A 16,710-nucleotide genomic window follows, 5' to 3' on the forward strand; every position below is an offset into this window, starting at 1 on the left:
AAAACTCTTCACGTATTACTTGTTTCCCACACAGTCATCTGAAAATGTGGGCACCCGACAGGGCTCAACAAATATTTATTTAAATAAAACGTGGATGAGTTTTACCCTAAAGAAAAGTTGCATGTATGTTATTTACAGTTTTCTGCAGTGTAGTAGCTATTTTTAATCTTTTGGTTTCTCCCTGCACCCTAATAGGTTATCCTATAATTGGGTTCCGTTCATGTGTATTAGTGTCCCAGGCTGATCTTAGCTCCAGTAAATACCTAGTGTGCCTTCTAGAATGTTATATCATGAAGTTCGTTACTCACCCCCCTCAGTTAGCCTACGACTTGACCTTTTTTTAATACCAGTTTTGGAAGACAGGCCTAACACTTGTGTATTCCATCACATCTTGATTTCATAGAGTTACGTTGTGGAGGATATGGTTCAACTCACATTTTATCTGAAATATTAAACAGCAGACCCTTTACGATAGGACCCCGCAGTACTGCTTTCATTCACTTGTCCTCAGCTCCGCGCTGATTTGTTCTTCAGGATTACTATCTGTTTTGGGTTAACTGTTTTGCAGTTCTTAGACACAGAACTGCATTATCAACCAAAATAAAAGAGCTATTCTCCCTGATGTGCCTTCCTTCTTCTTCCTGATCCTAGGATGATGAGGCTAAAGTTTCCAGCTGGATCTGGCTCGGCATTTCTGGGATAAATTAAATGAGCACACTTGATTGAGGGGTAGCTGCACTGTATCCCTGGCTTCCTATTATGCTAGGAGATCAAAGCAGAGCACAAATAGAGGCTTGCTCTATACAATATTCAAAACAGATGGCTTTTTTTTGGTGAAAATTCAGGTTTTAAGGCAAAACACTTGTTAGCAAAACTTCATTTCTTTTCATTGATAGATAGTCACTACTGAACACATAGCACTGTTTCTTCCTGTATTTCAAGACTAGGATCACAAACTTTTTGCAGGAGGAGGGATTTGGCAAGCCTAGAAAGGTATTAGATTGTCTGTGTCTTCATGTGAATATGAAATAAGTTATTAAGATTTTGCTGTTGGTATTCTAGAATCAAATGAAAACATCTTACATTTGGTCACATAATCATTTTGTTGTTGGGTCACTATTTAAAAATCTAGTACTCATATTGTTTTGTCTTCTAAGAATTGAACCAGGATGTTTATCTCTGATTTCATGTTTTAACTGAAAAGTACATTCTCCACACTCCTTTATCATTTACATCTGAATCCTCAAGTTCATGTAGAATAATTCTATGTGATGTGAAACTTTTATTATTTTGGTTTAAAACTGAAATGAGAAATAAGATTAATTCAAAAATATTTTTGGGACGTCTGCCATGTGCCTAACACTGCATTAGGTACGTGGTAAAAAATACATGTTTCAAGACATTGAAACAACTGCTAAATGATGGATTTTCTCCAACAGAGAAAAATTATACAAGATGCAATAGAAAAACCCAGGTCTCCAGAGAGATTTAGGGGTTCACAAAGAAGGTGACACTTGAGCTAACTCTTGAAGGAGCAGTAGGCATTTGCCAGGCAGATACAATTTTAGATAAGGACATTTGCAAAGATATAGAAGCATAAGCAGCATAACAAATTTAGTATATTCTTGGCAGCTCATTATACATAGTAGTTCGGGTGTATGTCAATTATCTGTTGCAGCATTACACATTACCCCAAAGTGTGGCAGCATAAAACAACAATAAATGATTTTCATCTCAGTGGTTTCTATGTGCCAGGAATTCAGCAGCGTCTTAGCTGGGCAGTTCTTACTTGGGGTCTCTCATGGGACCGCAATTATCTAAAACCTTCCCTGGGGATAGAACAGCCAATTCCAGGATTGCTCACCCACAGTTTGTGCCACCTATTGGAAGGAACCTTCCGTTCCTTGCCATATGGAACCTCTCCATTGGGCTCCTGGATGTGGTGACATGGAGTCCAGCTTCACCCAAAATGAGTGATCCAAGAGATGAGAGCCAGAAGGAAGCCACAATGCCTTTTATGACCTAGAATCATAAGTTACACAACATCCCTTCGGCCACATTCTGTTCCTTAGAAGTGAGTCACTAAGACCATCCCACACTGAGTGGGGTATTAGGGCTTAGGCACCACTTTTTGAAAGGAGGAATGCTAAATAATTTTCAGGCTTTTTTTTTTTTTGGCAGCAGAGTCTCGCTCTGTTGCCCAGGCTGGAGTGCAGTGGCTTGATCTCGGCTCTCTGCAACCTCTGCCTCCCGGGTTCAAGCGATTCTCCTGCCTCAGCCTCCCGAGTATCTGGGATTACAGGCATGCACCACCACACTTGGCTAATTTTTTTGTATTTTTAGTAGAGACAGGGTTTCACCATGTTGGCCAGGCTAGTCTCAAACTCCTGACCTCAAGAGATTCACCTGCCTTGGCCTCCCAAAGTGCTGGAATTACAGGCATGAGCCACTGCACCCAGCCTCAGGTTTATTTTTTCAATTACTATGGGATGTCAGAGAGGGAAAAACAAGCCATTAGGTGGTTGCAGTCAGCAGCAGGTGGATCGTGAAGACCTCAGCATGCCATTGCAATCTGTAGAGGTTGGACAGGTGGAGAGGGAGGTATACGGGGCAGAGTACTGGAAACAGGACAGCCAGTTCAGAGCTTGCTACTTTGTCCTGGAGAGTGATGCTGAGGGGCTGAAGGGGTGCAGTGATAGAAGAGTTTATAAGTGAGAATATGTTTATTATCAAGAAGCTCTGGTTCTTATAGGAAATGTCCCAAATGGTTTCTAGTCTCTCTTGGTTGAGAAAATAGAGAACACCGTCTGAATGCCCAGTTATAATTCAGAAAGTTAACTTGCCCGTAGGAACTACTCAGGGAAAAGCAATGAAATAAAGCCTGAAAGTTCTATAACCGCTCCGGGGAGAACCACGAGCTGTGATGCGCTGATGCCGACTGAGAACTTAGCTGCTGGTCATCTTTACAGATCAAGTCACCCCTCAGGATTTTGAATTTTTCATTCAGAAAGTTAGGCAGGGGACAGGGGCAGATATCTCTAAAATTCCTTCCATCTTTTGTATTCTGTACTCAAAATGAGTACAGGATGCTGTTTTGAACCAATTAGTGTTTTAGACTTGTCTAACCTTGAAAACATTGGACCCAATAGAAACATTTAACCTATTCACAGATATTTAATTCAGGTTGTATCAGTATCAAGGAATTTTTAACTGAGCGTTTTCTGGAGCTGAAACTAAGTTAACTTAGTATCTTGATCAATTTATACATGTAGTTGAAAATGTTCAGATTTTTAAATTATCTTATGGAATCATTTTAATTAGTATCACTTTTTCATATTTAAATTGCATAACGATTTTATTTATCAGTTTTTACATAGATTTTACTAATTATCACTTCCTGTAACTGTCAGTTTTCATTTTATGCCTATTGCCAAATCCAATTTTCCATTTAGCCAATGTTTTATTTTGTGTTAATATTATTCTTGATACAAGTACTTTTCATTGTGAATGGATTTTTTAAGATAGTAATTATTATTCCTTTTTACAATAATCTGTTGGAAAATTATAAGAATTTCCTCTTTAATATTATATTTACCCTGTTATCTGAGATTGGTCTGTTATGGAAATTGGCAAACATTTTTTAATGGTCCAGATAGTAAATAGTGTATAGTTACACTTTTGGTTTTTGTTTGTTTTTGAGACAGGGAGTGCAGTGGTGCAATCGCAGTTCCCTGCAGCCTCAACCTCCTTCCCAGGCTCAAGCAGTCCTCTTACCTCAGCCTCCTGAGTAACTGGGACTATTGGCATGCACCACCTTACCCTGCTGACTTTTTAAACTTTTTGTAGAGTTGAGTCTCTGTGTTTTGCCCAGGTTGGTCTCGAACTCCTGAGCTCAAGCAGTCCTCCCACCTCGACCTCCCAAAGTGCTGGGATAGCATATACTTAGGCTTTGCAAACTGTGTACTTCCTGCCAAAACAATCCACCTCTGCTGTTGTAGTGTGAAAGCAGCCATAGGCAATATGTGAATGAATGACTGTGGCTATGAACTAACAAACTTTAGACACTGAAATCTCATGTTCATATAAAACCATTTTTAGCTGATGGGCTGTACGAAGAAGGCGGAGCTGAATTTGGTTCATGGACTGTAGTGCTGTGTTGCTTATCTGGTTCTTGTTGTGCTTCTTGTCATTTTACATGCCTTCACTAGCCATCCACAGGCCTTGGTGAGGCCAAGCATGTGGTGGCATTAAAATGTCCTCAGGGTGAGGATGTCAGGTAGTTACCAAGGATAACTTGTCTTTACATGTACCGTGATCTTCACAAGGATGGGCATAATTATTCCCAGTTTACAGATGACAAAACAGGTTATTGGAAATAATAGTAGTTAATAATTATTGAAGAACTTAACTATGTGGCAGGCACATAGATTATCACAAACCCATTAATACACTGTTACCAAAGCAACTTGTTCCAGGTCTCCTACCTAGAATGTAACAGACCCTGGAATCAAGCCGTACAGTGTGTCTCCAGAGCCCATGCTCTTCACCACTGTATCACTCTGTGTGTAATTCTGCTCTGTGGCACAGAACTATCAATACAGTGCAAAGATGTCATAGCACATAAGTGATACACATCTGTCTCTAGTGAGCGTAGCCTCTGGGTTAAAAAACAAAAACCAAAAAAAACTTTTTTCACCACAGTCTCTGAAACTGAATACCCAGTCATTAACGTGATGTCACCAGCCAACCGCCTGCATCCTCCTGGCTGTGCGGTGTTTGAATGGCCATAGCCACGGGAGCTACATTGCCTGCCCTGGTACTAAAGGATGGACTACTGTGTCTGCATCCAGTGTAGTACTGTAAGGTGCTGTGATGCCACAGCAGCCGTTGCCAAAGAAATGTTTAGGTAGATGCAATTCTTAGTTAAGATTATAAGATGCAGAGGATCGCCTAAATTAATTTAATTCCAGGCTAATTAAAAAATTTCCTGAGGGAAGTAACTGACGTGAGAGCAGATAAGGGCAAGCATGCAGGCACACAGCATGCTTTCCTGGAAGGTATAAGTTGTAATTGCTCCAAGAGATGGCAGAGGTAGGAGTCCTAGTTCAGAGGAGCCTGGCTCCAGCCAATCAGACATTTCATAGCTCTATGCACGTGTATGTTTTAAGTAGCGTGTTAACCTGATGCTTTCTTCTGGTGTACAGAAATATATGATCATTGAGACAGAATGCGCTAATGAAGTCGGGGAGCTGAAAACCTTCACATACATAGAATGTAGAGCACTGAACTCACAGGTTGTCGGAGGCACACACACCTGCCTTAGAATGGCTTTGCAGTATTCCTTGAAATGCTGCATCTGGGAAATGATGTGTGGATGGTTTGCTAGCTGGAGGCTGGTTTGTTAATTAGAAGTGTATCTGACCAATGGCATGAGATCTTATTGCTTAAACGAACAAGATGGCGGAGACTTTACTCCCTTTGAATGGTCCAGCAAAGGCTATTTCCTGTCAGCAGTAGCATCTCATGCAAGAAGATTACAGTTGCTGAAGCCCACAAGGCAACTGAGTATGGAGAATTCCTCAAAATTGTATGTTGTGTATATTTGGGCAGACTGGTTAAAGCATGAAGAGAGCTATTGCTACTGTTAAAGTATGTGTCTGTGCTATCAAAAGTATACTCCCTGAGGCTGAGGCTGCAATGCAGTGAGCTGTGATCACACCACTGCACTCCAGCCTAGGCGACAGAGTGAGACCCTGTCTCAAAAAAAAAAAAAAAAAAAAAAGGTGTACTCCCTGGTAGGAGAACCAGGGAAAAGCAGCTACAAACAAGAGCAGATTAACATGGTGCAGAAAAGGCATGTTCTGCTTCCTCTTGTCCCTTTTCTTTGCTTGATTTCTAGAGTTAGATTTTATCATTTCACTCTTTAATCTGTTTCTTATTTTCTAAACACCCGTAATATATTAGATTCTCTGATTATATCAAAAACGTGGTCTCCATCCTCTGGATTTCCTCACTAAAACTGGACGTGGCTTCCTTTGTGCAGTAGCTTTTTTGTGAGTACTAAAAGGTGGCACTGGTATGAGAGCCTGGGAGATTAAAAAATAGATATATGAAGATTCTATATAAGCTTAACTTTTTCCTTTCTCTTTTTTACTATCAGTCACTTTACAGCTAAACTAGGAGCCTACTTACTCTTTATTGACTCGTGTAGTTACCTGTGCTTCAGTCTAGATGTGTACACCATGTACCCCTTGGAACTTCCTTCTGTGGCCGCTTGCTGGCGCTCTGCTGTTCCCCCATGAGTATCAGTCCGTTCTGTCAAATGCTAGGGTTTGTTCTTTGCGCTCATTCCATTTCCCACTTCCCAGTGGGGCTGCCCCCCTTTGCCACTACCCTTCAGAATTGATCTCCAGTCCCTGCTTAATGATCCTGTGTTCGGAGCAGAGGGAAACAGAGCACGTGGGTCCTTCTTCCAGAGATGGGTGTTACATACACCCAAAGGGTCGTCTGACTGGAGATCCTTAGGCTAGTCATGGTCCAGGTTGTGTAATCTTGAAACATCAGCCACCATTTGTAGTATCTCTGGTGTTTACCATGCTGAGCCTCTTTCGTCATAGTCAATTGTATATTTTCAAATAATAAAGCTTTGCTTAAGCGTCCACAACTATGAATATTGAAGTGGTGATGACCGTCAGAGTTTGTGTTGTGCTACACGGCTTAACGTTTCGAGAGAGAGAGAATAATTCAATCACTGCATGGGAGGTTTTATTCTCAAATAAAGGAAGTTGGTAGAGAAAGCCGTCTTCCTCATGTTTGTTTTTCCCAAATCTTTTTTTCCACCCAAAGTCTGGATTACTCCCAAGGTGAGAGGGTTGATGTCTGGAAATTGTTAATCCATGGGATCTATTCATGGTATATAAAATTTTCAGAAAGAATTTGCCTTTTAAATATGATTTCCTGATTGACTATAGCAAACATAAATCCAGGAAGTACAACTCTGTCAGAGCAGCCAGGATCCTTCTTAGCTTCTCAGATGTATGAGATTTTTTAGTGCGTGTGTGGAGTGGAAGTAAAGATTCTTCCCGTGGGCAGGTCAGAAGGAGAGAGGGGAGTTAGGAGAAGAAAGGAAGAGAATAATAGGACATAGAAACAAACCAAAGCTGCTAGGGTCGGGGAGGCAGGTATATACCCCTGGCTTTCCTGGAATTAGCTGCTGTCCCCCTGAAAAACCAGCTTTATTTTAGTTTATAGTACTGAGAGGAAGAAGCTAGGGAGGCACCCTTTTAGTGCCTTCTGTCCTGGTACTGTTTTCATTCTTGAAGTGCTCTTTTATGATATACAGAAACATTTCCTCATCCTCTTGGTGATACAAAGTTCTTGGGCCACTATTTTCAGAGAAAACTAAGCTGTACTAAGCTGGAAATATTGGCTGAGGGCCATTTTGCTCAGATCTCTCCTCCCATCTGGACTTCGTGCCCCCGTGCATTCTTAAACACCAAATCACAACCATTTCTCACCTGCTGAAGTGAGAAACAGTTTTCTGGCTGTTTCCGATGTTAGCATTAAAGATCAGATTTCTGTATGTGACTTGCCTTTCTCCAATGGAAAGGTGCCCATTTCTGATATTTACACACAGCTACAGATATATTTATAGTTTCTCTTGGATTTCGGGTAATAGCTAACTCTTCTTCCCTGCCACCTGTACCCTCTCAGGCCATGTTCTTATTAAGCACTCTAATGAGAAGCTACGTCTACCACAGGCTCTAGACACATGATGAGACCCTCAGTGGCTATAGCCTAGCTGTGAGCACTCAGCAGTAGACTTATATCTGCATAGTCTGTTGTGTTTGGTTTGACGCTAGAGTTCAAATAATAAGGTGACTAACTGCAAACTGCCTCTGCCTGCTCCCCCAGCCCTTCCATGTACAGACAGACGGACACACACACACACACACACACACACGTGCACGCACGCCCTCTTATCCTGACCTTGAAATAGCTACCACTCACAGAAGAGTCTCCTCCAGAGACTGGCCTGTCTTTGGGAGCCTTTGTACAGATAAACTATCAAATCTCATAGTGACTAGACAGTCATACTTGGCTCTTTTTTGTAGTCCTATGGACTGAGAAGGAGCCGGTAAATGTGTTCCTCTTCAGTTCAGGTCACATCTTTGACATGTTCACATCTTTATTATGTTGTTCCTTGTTTGTTGAGATGCTATCAAGGTCAGGAGGTCCCTTTTGTTGACCCTGGGTAACTCCGCTTGCCTTTCCCCTCCACTCCCAATGCCATAGGTGAGAAAGGAGAAGATAAAATGTGATTATGAGGTTATTATACTCTTTTGCCCCCTAGGCAACAAGCGTATTGTTGTTTTTCAGATCCATCCGTCTAGCAGACATGTGATAATGCCAAAAGGTGGTGTCGTGCTTGACTGCAGCAGTTACAGCACGTGAGGCACCAGGCCTCAGAGGGTCAGAAGAGAGTGTGAGTTATCAATTTCAATGTTTATGTGTTCACACGGGCATGCAGGGAGTTAAAAGCCACCATTTTTCCCTGTGACCAACTGCCCGCCTAGCTTTTCCTTTGAAATCCAGCGTCAGTCCTTGTAGGGCTGGCCTGCTCAAAAAGTATGACTGTCTCTTCTCCCTCTTTTGCCTCATGTTTCTTCCACATGCCTAGATTTTTGCCCCTAATGTCTCATTCATAAATCTGTAGCCCTGGAACTGTACTGTACAGTAGGGAAGCCATTCAGATATATATATATATATGTACTTATACTTAACTCTTCCATTTTTCACTAAAACACAATGAGTGATTTGTGTGGGGAGCCAAGCCTCAAGCCAAGAACTGAATTCAAAGTGTTTTCTCGTCTTTGTTAACTCTTAACAGCAAGAAAGAATTTTGGAACACATTTCTGCTCCTGGAATTTCTGAGTGCAGCAGTAAGTGGCTTTCTGAGTGGCTTTCTTGACTTCTTGATTCTGGTTATCTCATCGACTTTCAGCAGCCATCCTTTCAGGGCGCATACTGTATGTACCCTTGATTGGCTGGCCTGTAATAATAGCTTCTGTGCCTCCTAGTAGCATTCTCTTCACTTTTCACCCCATTTCTATGTGCTGTCCTCATCTGTATATACATGTTCACCCACCTGGTGGTGAATGACCTGGTTTTAATGTATCTTACAAATTTCCGAGTACTAAAGCAAGTATAGAGATGCCTACAGTCTTGACATCCTTTTGTAGCACATGGAGAGACACATAGATATGCTCAGCCAGAGATGTCCTTCCCTTACTAGTAGGCAAGCCCCTAACAGTCTGTTCCCTATGCACTCCCTTAGATTTCGTTTGAGTAGCATTTTTTATAATGCATAAGGTAAAAGAGATGTTAACTGAATGAAGATTGAATAGGCAGAATGCAGTTAGCAGCTCTGTAGTTGAGATTTCAAGATTTATTTTATTCTGAACGCTGTTCCATATCTCCTTACAGCTTTGAGGACATAATGTTTTCTCTTCATACCTGAATCCAGAAATAAAGGATGTTTTGTTTTGTTTTGTTTGCTAGAGTGGTAATGCATCCTTAAAGAAAAATTGGCAACAGATTTGTGAGCTGTAAAACTAAGAAGAAATGATCATTTGTTATTTTCAAAAATGATTCTCATGTTTCTTTGCATTTCAAAACCTATAGTCTTTTGTGGTTTTCATAGGCACATTTACACTTTGACAGACCATAAAACCCTTTCAATCTGAAACCTTTGGAGAGAGTTTCTACTTTTAGAACCAGATATTTCTATTAGTAGTGAGATTTCTGATTAACGTTTATTCATCTCAGTGACTAGTGGTCCCTGGACCTGAACTCCTAGTGGTAACTGAATTATATGATTTTGTGAACTCCATTCTTTCACAAAATAGCTGTGTTTAAATAAGAACATAACACATTGCTCCAAACCTTTGTGACAAGGCTTGACACACTATCCTTCATTTTCCTGACCCTGAAGTACATTATTGACTAAGAAGATATCTTAGTTATTGAGGGTAAAGACTTTGAGGCAGAATTAATGAATTTTATTTTCTCGCATCTTTTACTTTTCAGAGTTTAGCTCTCCGCTGGGGCCTCTGGATAAGAATGCCATTCTAAGATGATAATATTTATGGAAAGTTAATCTGTTATTCTGGGATTTTCTTAATGTAGTCTATGTTGAGAGACAGCAGTACAATGACAGTCCAATAAGAAATCAAAACTACCACTAACATTTATGCAGTTAATATATGGACAGTTGAACCTGCCTCTGAAGACTTCAGCAGGTAAAAAGAACAAAAAGATTTTGTAGCCACTTCAGGGCTCTGAGCTAGCCACAGAAGAATCGTAGTAGATATAAAAATAATTTGCCAGGAAGACAATAAGTCATCAATAAATGTTAGCTTTAAAAAAATGGCATCTTTCGGGCTGGGTGCAGTGGCTCAGGCCTGTTATCCTAGCACTTTGGGAAGCTGAGACAGGAGGATCACATGAGCCCAGGAGTTAAAGACCAGCCTAGGCAATATTGTGAGACCCTTTCTCTACAATAAATTTAAAAAATTAGCCGGGTATGGTGGTGCATGCCTATAGTCCCAGCTACTTTGGGGGCTAAGGTAGGAGAATCGCTGAGCCCAGGTGGCTGAGGCTTCAGTGAGCTGTGATTGCATCACTGCACTCCAGTCTGGGTGACAAAGCGAGACCTTGTCTCAATTTAAAAAAAAATATATATATATATATAAAAAATGACATCTTTCAACGGACAAAAGATTAGTACCCCATGAGAAAATACCTTAAGCCCCAAATAATATTCAGTACCTGTTCATCTAGGCTTTATGAGGAGGCTGTGTTATGCCTCTCGGAATGGTTCTTAGAGTAACTATCTGGCACAGAGGCAGTAGAGTGGGAAGAGAAGAGCCTACTGGACAGACGCTTCACTCTGCACATTTCTTCCAGGTATTGAAGTCACATGGCCCAAGAAAGTGTGTTTGGATCTCATAGATGAGTGAGTTGCAGAAGTGGAATGCTGTAGAATCTTCTGTTACTATTTGTATTGAATGATACAGGAACAACTTACCTGTCTTCCTAAAGACCATCAGTTATCCAACCTCACTGAAGTGGAAACTAGGTTAAAACAAACACCTTTGGAAGATTACTGGTCTTGTCACTATGCCATGAAATGCTGGCCTCTGAAGCCTGTTTGAGAATCTAATACATAAACAAATAAATTCTTACAAGAAGAAACAAAGCTCTTAGTACTTAACCAAAAATGTCTCATCCCTTTTTATAATTTAAATTTCCTCAACAATTTTGTAAATGTAGCATTGGGGCCATAATGACGTTTTGGCATCATATTTGGTACAAGCAAATATCATGACGAGTTCATTTTTTAACTTCTTTTTTCCTAGTGCAGAAAAGTATATTTAAGTACAGTTCATTATAGCTGTACAACCAATTTGGCCTGACCACATATCTGATGATTTTTAGTAGGACCCCTTGCCAATGTATTGAGGTCGCATGTGGAAAAAAGTTATAACTTACGGGTCCTGTAAGGCATTCTCTTTCTACTTGGCAAATGTCCCTCTTCCCTCTTGAGATTAGGCAGTGGCAGTTCTACCTTGTGGGAAACACAGTTTCTTTTCTAAGTGGACTGCTCAAATTAGATAGGGAGAAAAGGGAAGAGATAAGGGCATTTCCCACATGATTGACATGGTTCATGTGTTCCGAGAGGCTTAAGTAGTTTTTTTACAGATAGATTTGGGGACTATACTAGTTGGGCAGTTTCATATGCTTTCACAATGATACATATTTTGGGAGTATTTGTGGTATTTTGATACCTCTATACAATGTAAATGATCAAATCAGAGTAATCCATCACTTCAAACATTTATCTTTTCTTTGTAAAATGAGTTTTTATCCCGGATAAACAATTTAGAATTTCATTCTTTTTTAAGTTTTCTTTCTTTCTCTTTTTTTTTTTTTTTTTTTCCTTGAGACAGAGTCTTGCTCTGTCGCCCAGGCTGGAGTGCAGTGGTGCCATCTCGGCTCACTGCAAGCTCCGCCTCCTGGGTTCACGCCATTCTCCTGCCTCAGCCTCCCGAGTAGCTGGGACTACAGACGCCCGCCACCACGCCCGGCTAATTTTTTTTGTATTTTTAGTAGAGACGGGGTTTCACCGTGTTAGCCAGGATGGTCTCGATCTCCTGACCTCGTGATCTGCCCTCCTTGGCCTCCCAAAGTGCTGCGATTACAGGTGTGAGCCACCGCGCCCGGCCTTTTTTTTTTTTTTTTAATAGAGACAGAGTCTTGCTATGTTGCTCAGGCTGGTCTCAAACTCCTGGCCTTAAGCAATCCCCCTGCCTCAGCCTTTTGTGTGTGTGTGTGTGTGTGTGTGTGTGTGTGTGTGTGTGTGTGTGTGTGTGTGTGTGTGTGTGTGTGATGGAGTCTCACTCTGTCGCCCAGGCTGGAGTGCAGTGGTGTGATCTCAGCTCACTGCAACCTCCACCTCCCAGGTTCAAGCAATTCTTAATGCCTCAGCCTACTGAGTAGCTGAGACTACAGGTGCGCACCACACCCAGCTACTTTTCATATTTTTAGTAGAGACAAGGTTTCACTGTGTTGGCCAGACTGCTCTCGAACTCCTGTCCCCAAGTGATCCACCCACCTTGCCCTCCCAAAGTGCTGGAATTACAGGCATGAGCCACCACACCTGACCTCAGCCTTATTTTTTAAGTTTTCGATTGGACTCTGAAATTTTTCAGAATACCAGATGCCATCATGTTTATTTAATCAATTAGCCATCAGCATAAAATGCATTTAAATCTGTTTGAAAATTTTTTTTTTTTTTGAGACAGATCTTGCTGCAATGCCCAGCCTGGAGTGCAATGGTGCGATCTCGGCTCACTGCAACCTCCCCTTTTCAGGTTCAAGCAATTCTCCTGCCCCAGCCTCCCAAGTAGCTGGGATTACAGGCATGCGCCACCATGCCTGGCTGATTTTTGTATTTTTTTAGTAGAGATGGGGTTTCACCGTATTGGCCAGGCTGGTCTCGAACTCCTGACCTTAAGTGATCTACCCGCCTCAGCCTCCCAAAGTGCTGGGATTACAGGCATGAGCCACCGTGCCCGGCTGAAATTGATTGTTTATTAAGAATAAGGATCTAAAAAGTCAGCATCCGCAGTCATAGTGGTTGTAGGAGTGAGCTAATAATATCTTTTTAAATTCTGTTTTACTATAAGGAATTTGACCTTCTCAATATGACCATTTATCACATTGCCCCCTTTCTTCGTGGTCATACTTTTTTCTGCCAGTTTTGTCAGTCAAAAGTAATTACCTAAGATAAGCAGCTCTTTCAGCCTTTGCAGCCCAGATGTGGCATTTGTGATGGCAGCTCTATACCCACAAACATGCGCGTGTGCACCAAAAGAATGGGAATAAATTGCACAAATCCAGTGAAAATCCCAAAGGTGATTTTTTTAAATCAATGTATTCATGAAAGAAGATAGAGAAAACCAAGCTTTTAAAAAATGAGGAATGAAATAGGGATATGTTACTTGGCATCATGGGGGTGTAGTAACAGAACCGTGATGAGACGGTTTCGTCATTGGCGCACAGAGTGTGCTTGCATTTAAAGTAATTTTACCTTTGAAGACTGCACCTGGAATCCTTTGTAAATTTTCCACAATGAGTATACTTTTTGTTGTTGTTGTTGTTTTGAGACAGAGTCTCACTCTGTCGCCCTGGCTGGAGTGCAGTGGTGTGATCTCTGCTCACTGCAGCCTCCGCTTCCCGGGTTCAAGCGATTCTCCGGCCTCAGCCTCCCACATAGCTGGGATTACAGGCGCACGCCACCATGCCCGACTAATTTTTGTATTTTTAGTAGAGACAGGGTTTCACCATGTTGGCCAGGCTGCTCTCAAAATCCTGACCTCACGTCATCTGCCCACCTTGGCCTCCCAAAGTGCTGAGTTTACAGGCATGATCCACCATGCCCGACCACAAGTATACATGTATGCCCAGAAATAAAATACAATATTTTTGAAAAGTTGGTATTGTTTGCAAAAAACTATCCAGCTCCCCCACTCTAAATTCTCTACTTGATTGAAACACTGTCTTCCTTCTGTGACTGGCTGTGTTGACATGCCTGTCATAGGTAGGAAATTCCAGCCCAGAACTGGTACCGTAAACCTGCTGATTAGGAGTCTCTTACAGAGCCCAGCAGCCTTCCACAGCAGAACTTTGGTGTTTATCGTTTATCCTTAGAGAGAGAGAGAGAATTTTAAAAACAAAAGTAATGCTAAATTGATTAATTTTCTCTGGTTTGTCTAGCCAGGCTCCAGCTTCTGTGTAATATACTGTATAGGCCTAAACTGAACTCTGATCTTTTTAGCAAGCTGAAGATTGTTTTAGCCACTAAGCCCTTGCTCTTTATTCTCTTTTAATTATTTCCTGGAAATAGTATTAGAAACAAAGGAAATGTGCTATATGTATTATGCAGCCATGAAAAACATAGTTTCGGTCATATATAATGTAGTGAACAGTACTGACAATATAATGTTAAATAGATAATGTATCAAGCAAAATGTGAGGTGTGATACTGTTAGAAGCTGATTTATATAAATTTATTAAAAGACTTGGCAGGAAAATTTCCAAAATGTTACAAATGATTACTTCTTTTTTATTTTTTTTTATTTTTTTGAGACAGTCTCGCTCTATCGCTCAGGCTGGAGTGCAGTGGTGTGATCTCGGCTCACTGCAAGCTCCACCTCCCGGGTTCACACCATTCTCCTGCCTCTGCCTCCCGAGTAGCTGGGACTACAGGCACCCGCCCAGTTAATTTTTTGTATTTTTAGTGGAAACGGGGTTTCACCATGTTAGCCAGGATGGTCTCGATCTCCTGATCTCATGATCTGCCCTCCTCAGCCTCCCAAAGTGCTGGTATTACAGGCGTGAGCCACCACACCCGGCCAAATAATTACTTCTTGATGGAAGTGTATGCAAAAGTCTTATTTCCTTTATATTTTTCTTTTTTCCCCCAATTTTTTGGAGTAAAATATATATTGTTTTCATAATAAAAACATAAAACTTTATTTCTTAAAAAAACTCTTGTTGAAAAAGAAATAAAGGAACGTGGCAGGAGCAGTCCTCTGAGGGGGTCCAAGGAGGAATCAGTGTTACTGTGGAAAGTAATACCAGGCCTTGCTTCTGTTGACTTGAAGATTATTGAGCTCCCAATTCATTAGTTAGGCCAGAGGTGTCCTGTTCATGAAAATTGCCAGGCCGGTGACATGCAACAGGTGCAGACCTGCTGTGTGAGCCCTGGGAACACACTGAGATCTGCCAGCGTTTTGGCGGTGCTTCGCAGTGCTCACAGCTGCTGTGTGTCAAGCAGGGGCTGCTCTAATGCTTCAGTGTTCTGTGATGGTGAGGTCTGGCCCCACTCTCTTCCTCAGCACTCCAGGCTTTGACCAGCTACCAAATACCTGGCCAGACTATTGTCACGAGAGCTGCCAAATGAAATCCTGGGGCAGGAGTCATCAGTCATTTAGTGTGCTTCCAGAAGGAATCAAAGGAGTAGCTGTTCAAGCAGGGGAAAGGAATGAGAAAAGAAAAAACGTAGAGCAAGTCTGTTACTTAAGAAAAACACAGAACCAATGTTACAACTAAGAATTTCAGAGTCCTTGGCTGTGAGTCAGGTGTTTGGTGTTATATAGGGATTTATCAGTCACTGGTTCAGAAGAATATCGGATAACCTCTGTGAAATAAATGAGAAGAGCATAAGCCAGGATGAGACAGAATTCGTAATGAGTTCCCTCATCACATCTCTTGGCCAAGAAAAACATGCACTTTCTCCAGAGGCAGAATTTTTCTTCCATTCTAGGAGGTGGAGGAACACTTGGAGTATATGTAGTCCAGGCTTTCAGATGAGCAGTTTCACTAGCAGTTTTTTGTAATCTACTCATAAATAAGTGAAAAGAGAAACTGTGAGGTAACTGGAGTCTTTCTGTATCAGGAATAGCATCTCTGTAAAAACAAGTTAGTCCTGTGCTTAATTCCTGCCTCGATACAGAGCTGTCCGTCTGGTGTGAATATATGAAGCCAGCGTTCTCTTCCTGTCTCCCAGAAGGGCGGCTGCGTGTGACAGCGTAAATGTGTGACAGTATGTGAAAATGTTTCTGTAATCCTGAAGATTTCAGTAGTGATTAGAAGAGCTTTAGTCTTTGGTCAATTTTCTTTGACTTGGAAAGCATAAAGAATATTTGAACCTCTCATTTCAGACTGACCTTGACTTTCCTCATTTTATTTTATTTTATTTTATTTTTTTGCCTTAGATCATCCAGCCCCTCTTAGAACTTGACCAAAATAGAAGTAAATTAAAGTTGTACATTGGACACCTGACAACCCTCTGCCATGACCGAGACCCCCTGATCCTCCGTGGACTCACTCCACCAGCTTCCTATAACTTGGACGATGACCAGGCGGCTTGGGAGAATGAGCTGCAGAAGATGACCCGGGGGCAGGTGAGCCTCTCACTCAAACTTTGAAAAGAGCCTGTGAAAATCCAGTTGCTGTGTAGGTTGATGCAGTGGGGGCTACCTTGGGGAATCCAGTTGCCGTGTAGTTGATGCAGTGGGGGCTACCTTGGGGAATCCCGTTGCTGTGTAGGTTCATGCAGTGGGAGCTACCTTGGGGAATTCC

At 41.6% G+C, this 16,710-nt stretch overlaps 1 protein-coding gene across 54 annotated transcripts in view, besides 1 other annotated feature; it reads left to right on the forward strand.

The window, feature by feature from the left end:
* ERC1 (ELKS/RAB6-interacting/CAST family member 1) overlaps nucleotides 1–16,710 on the forward strand; it is a 505,975-nt gene that overhangs the window by 438,260 nt on the left and 51,005 nt on the right. For 47 of the 54 annotated variants that reach the window (NR_027948.3, NR_027946.3, NR_027949.3 and 44 more), the window contains one exon: nucleotides 16,344–16,532. Coding sequence is in view for 44 of the 54 variants with exons in the window: in XM_047428566.1 (XP_047284522.1) it covers nucleotides 16,344–16,532 (189 nt within the window). In the remaining 10 variants the exon portion in view is untranslated. Of the gene's footprint in view, nucleotides 1–16,343; nucleotides 16,533–16,710 lie in introns of those variants that run through there. The other 7 variants (XM_017019072.2, XM_047428580.1, XM_047428583.1 and 4 more) reach the window with 2 other exon arrangements.
* Nucleotides 13,873–14,372: an enhancer, noted in NCBI's record as "H3K4me1 hESC enhancer chr12:1551257-1551756 (GRCh37/hg19 assembly coordinates)". NCBI's record gives its function as "activates a minimal SCP1, AML or CMV promoter by ChIP-STARR-seq in naive H9 embryonic stem cells {active_cell/tissue: H9 hESC(naive)}" and the evidence as "EXISTENCE:reporter gene assay evidence [ECO:0000049][PMID:30033119]".

The sequence above is a fragment of the Homo sapiens genome, chromosome 12 (genome assembly GCF_000001405.40).
Source record: "Homo sapiens chromosome 12, GRCh38.p14 Primary Assembly".
Lineage (NCBI taxonomy): Eukaryota > Metazoa > Chordata > Mammalia > Primates > Hominidae > Homo > Homo sapiens.